Genomic DNA, 4406 nt, shown 5'->3' on the forward strand with positions numbered 1-4406 from the left:
TCAATCTTGGCTCACTGAAACCTCCACCTCCCAGGTTCAGGTAACCTTCCTGCCTCAGACTCTGAAATAGCTAGGACTACAGGCATGCACCACCACACCCGGCTAATTTTTTGTATGTTTTGTAAAGATGAGGTTTCACCATGTTGCCCAGGCTGGTCTCAAACTGCAGAACTCAAGCGATCTGCCTGTCTCAGCCTCCAAAAGTGCTGGGATTATAGGCGAGAGCTACCACACCCAGCCTTGATTATTTTGAGGTCTTCTAATTGTTAAGTTGTAAGAATTTCTTGTGTATTCTAGATACAATTCCTTTATTGAATACAGTCTCCAATTTAAGATTTTGGCTTAAGATTTTTTTGGGCGGTTTCTCTTTCCAGCCAGCGCCGAGCGATGGGCATCTCTCGGGACAACTGGCACCAGCGCCGCAAAACCGGGGGCAAGAGAAAGCCCTACCACAAGAAGCGGAAGTATGAGTTGGAGCGCCCAGCTGCCAACACCAAGATTGGCCCCCGCCGCATCCACACAGTCCGTGTGCAGGGAAGTAACAAGAAATACCGTGCCCTGAGGTTGGACGTGGGGGAATTTCTCCTGGGGCTCAGAGTGTTGTACTCGTAAAACAAGGATCATCGATGTTGTCTACAATGCATCTAATAATGAGCTGGTTCGTACCAAGACCCTGGTGAAGAATTGCATCGTGCTCATCGACAGCACACCGTGCCGACAGTGGTAAGATGTCCCACTACGTGCTGCCCCTGGGCCGCAAGAAGGGAGCCAAGCTGACTCCTGAGGAAGAAGAGATTTTAAACAAAAAACGATTTAAACAAATTCAGAAGAAATATGATGAAAGGAAAAAGAATGCCAAAATCAGCAGTCTCCTGGAAGAGCAGTTCCAGCAGGGCAAGCTTCTTGCATGCATCGCTTCAAGGCCGGGACAGTGTGGCCGAGCAGATGGCTATGTGCTAGAGGGCAAAGGGTTGGAGTTCTATCTTAGGAAAATCAAGGCCCGGAAAGGCAAATAAATCCTTGTTTTGTCTTCACCCATGTAATAAAGGTGTTTATTGTTTTGTTCCCCCCCCCCCAAAAAAAAGATTTTTTTGAGTTGATGATTGGTTTATCAAGATATAAACCTATCATAAGTCAAGGAGCATCTAGCCTTATAATGGCTTGACTTATGATTTTTTCATGTTACAGTGGGTTTGCCAAGGTATTAAATGCACTTTTGACTTATAATATTCTTGACTTATGACGGGTTTATCAAGATGTAACTCAACTGTAAGTGAAGGAGCATCTGTAAATATTTTGCAAATATTTTCTCCAATATTTAGATTGGCTTTTAATTTTGTAACAATGTTTTGAAGAACCAAAATTATTAAATTTGATAAAAGGTAACATTAATTTTTTTCTTTTCTAGTTTATGCTTCTTGTGTTTTACTTAATAAATCTTTGCCTAATTCATGATTTTTAAATTTTTCTGCCATATTTTCTTTTAGAGGTTTTATAGTTTCAGCTTTTACACTTAGGTCTGTGATCCATTTTGAGTTAATTTTGTAAATGGTGTGAAGACTTTCTTTATATATTTTATGTTATTGCTTATATCCAATCAATTGACCTAGCACCATTTGTTGAAAAGGTCCATTGAATGCCTTGACAACTTTGTTGAAAATCAGTTAACCATATATGTCAACCTATTTCTTGAATTTGAATTCTGTTCTATTGATCTGTATGTCTGTATAAATAATTCTAATACTTCTCTACTTCATAAGTAACAAATTAAATTTTATTACTATGCTTTTATTTTCAATAAGTTTAGATTTACAGATAAATTGAAGGTATAGAGAAATCCCAAAATCCTACTTTATGTTTTTGTTTGTTTTGTAGATGATTGGTTGGCTCTAAGTGTTTGGCTCTATTTCTGGGTTCTCTATTCTGTGCCACTGGTCTGTGTGCCCATTTTTATATAAGTACCATGCTGTTTCAGTGAATATACCCTTATAGTATAGTTTGAAGTTGGGTAATGTTATACTTCCAGATTTGTTCTTTTTGCTTAGTCTTGCTTTGGCTATGCAGGCTCTTTTTTGGTTCCATATGAATTTTAGAATTGTTTTTTCTAGTTCTGTGAAGAATGATGATGGTATTTCGATGGGAATGGCATTGAATTTGCAGACTGCTTTTGGTAGTATGGTCATTTTCACAGTACTGATTGTACCCATCCATGAGCATTGGATGCATTTCCATTTGTTTGTGTTGTCTATGATTTCTTTCAGCAGTGTTTGTACTTATCCCTGTAGAGGTCATTCATCTCCTTGGTTAGATATGTTCCTAAGAATTTTATTTTTTTTGCAGCTATTGTAAAAAGGGTTGAGTTCTTGACTTGGTTCTCAGCTTGGCTGCTGCTGGTGTATAGCAGTGCTACTGATTTGCGTACATTGATTTTGTATCCTCAAACTTTACCGAATTCATTTATTATGTTGACTAGAAGTGCTGAAAGTGGGCATCCTTGTTTTCTTCCAGTTCTCAGTGGGAATGCTTTCAACTTCTCCTCAGTTGGTATAATGTTGGCTGTGGGTTTGTCACTGATGGCTTTTATTACCTTAAGGTAAGACCTTTCTTCCTGGTTCAATCTAGGAGGGTTGTACGTTTCCAGGAATTTATCCATCTCCTCTAGGTTTTCCAGTGATTGAACTGTGGCCTGGGAGAGTACTTGTTATAATTCTTATTTTCTTAAGTTTATTGAGACTGGTTGTGGTCTATCATGTGGTCTATCTTGGAGAATGTTCCCCATGCTCATGAAAAGAATGTATATTCTGCAGTTGTTGGGTAGAATGGTCTGTAAATATCTGTTAAGTCTATTTGTTCTAGGGCATAGTTTAAGTCCATTGTTCCTTTGTTGACTTTCTGTCTTGATGGCCTGTCTAGGGCTGTCAGTGGAGTACTGAAGTCCCCCACTATTATCATGTTGGCAACTATCTCATTTCTTAGGTATAGTAGCAATTGTTTTATAAATTTGGGAGCTCCAGTGTTAGGTCCATATATATTTTGAATTGTAATATTTTCCTGTTGGACTAGTCCTCTTACCATTATACAATGTCCCTCTTTGTCTTTTTTAATGGTTGTTAAAAAGTCTGTTTTGTCTGATATAAGAATAGCTACTCCTGCTCACTTTTGGTGTCCATTTGCATGAAATATCTTTTTCCATCCCTTTATCTTAAGTTTATGTGAGTTCTTATGTGTTAGGTGAGTCTCTTGAAGACAGCAGATACTTGGTTGGTGAATTTTTATCCATTCTTCCATTATGTATCTTTTAAGTGGAGCACTCAGGCCATTTACATTCAACATCAGTATTGAGATCGTGGGGTACTATTCTATTCATCATGCTAGTTGTTGCCTGAATACCTTGGTTTTTTTTTTTTTCATTATGTTACTGTTTCATGGGTCCTGTGAGATGTATGCTTTAAGGAGGTTCTATTTTGGTGTATTTCAAGGTTTTGTTTCAAGATTTAGAGCTCCTTTTAGCAGTTCTTATAGTGCTGGCTTGATAGTGACAAATTCTCTCAGTATTTGTTTGTCTGGAAAATACCTCATCTTTCCTTCATTTATAAAGCTTAGTTTCTCTGGATACAAAATTCCTGGCCGATAGGATCCCAATCCCTTCTAGCTTGTAAGGTTTCTGCTGAGAAATCTGCTGTTAATCTGATAGGCTTTCCTTTACAGGTTACCTGATGCTTTTGTCTCACAGCTCTTAAGATTCTTTCCTTTGTCTTGACTTTAGGTAACCTGATGACTATGTGTGCAGGTGATGATTTTTTCACAATGAATTTCCCTGTTGCTCTTTGAGCTTCTTATATTTGGGTGTCTAGACCTCTAACAAGGCCAGGGAAGTTTTTCTCAATTATTCCCTCAAATACGTTTTCCAAATGTTTAGGTTTCCCATCTTCCTTGGGAACACCAATTATCCTTAGGTTTGGTTGTTTAACATAGTTCCCAAACTTCCTGGAGGTTTTGTTCATTTTTTAAAATTCTTTTTTCTTTGTCTTTGTTGGATTGGATTAATTCAAAAGCCTTGTTTTTGAGCTCTGAAGTTCTGTCTTCTACTTGTTCGATTCTATTGTTGAAAGTTTCCAGTGTATTTTGTATTTCTCGATGTGTGTCATTTCCCAAAGTTGTCCTTGTTTTTTATTTATGCTGTCTATTTCTCTGGAGACTTTTTTGTCCATATCCTGCATTTTTCAAAATTTCCTTAAGTTGGTTTTCATCTTTCTCTTATGCCTCCTTGAGTAGCTTAATAACTGGGCTTCTGAATTCTTTTTTTCTGGCAATTCAGAGATTTCTTCTGGGTTTGTATCCATTGCGGGTGAGCTAGTGTGATCTTTTGGGGGTGTTAAAGAACCCTGTTTTGTCATATTACCAGA

General features: G+C 37.9%; 1 pseudogene; it reads left to right on the forward strand.

Annotated features, from left to right (window-relative positions):
• RPS8P8 (ribosomal protein S8 pseudogene 8) lies at positions 347-1070 on the forward strand (annotated as a pseudogene).

The sequence above is a fragment of the Homo sapiens genome, chromosome 5 (genome assembly GCF_000001405.40).
Source record: "Homo sapiens chromosome 5, GRCh38.p14 Primary Assembly".
In the NCBI taxonomy this organism is placed as follows: domain Eukaryota; kingdom Metazoa; phylum Chordata; class Mammalia; order Primates; family Hominidae; genus Homo; species Homo sapiens.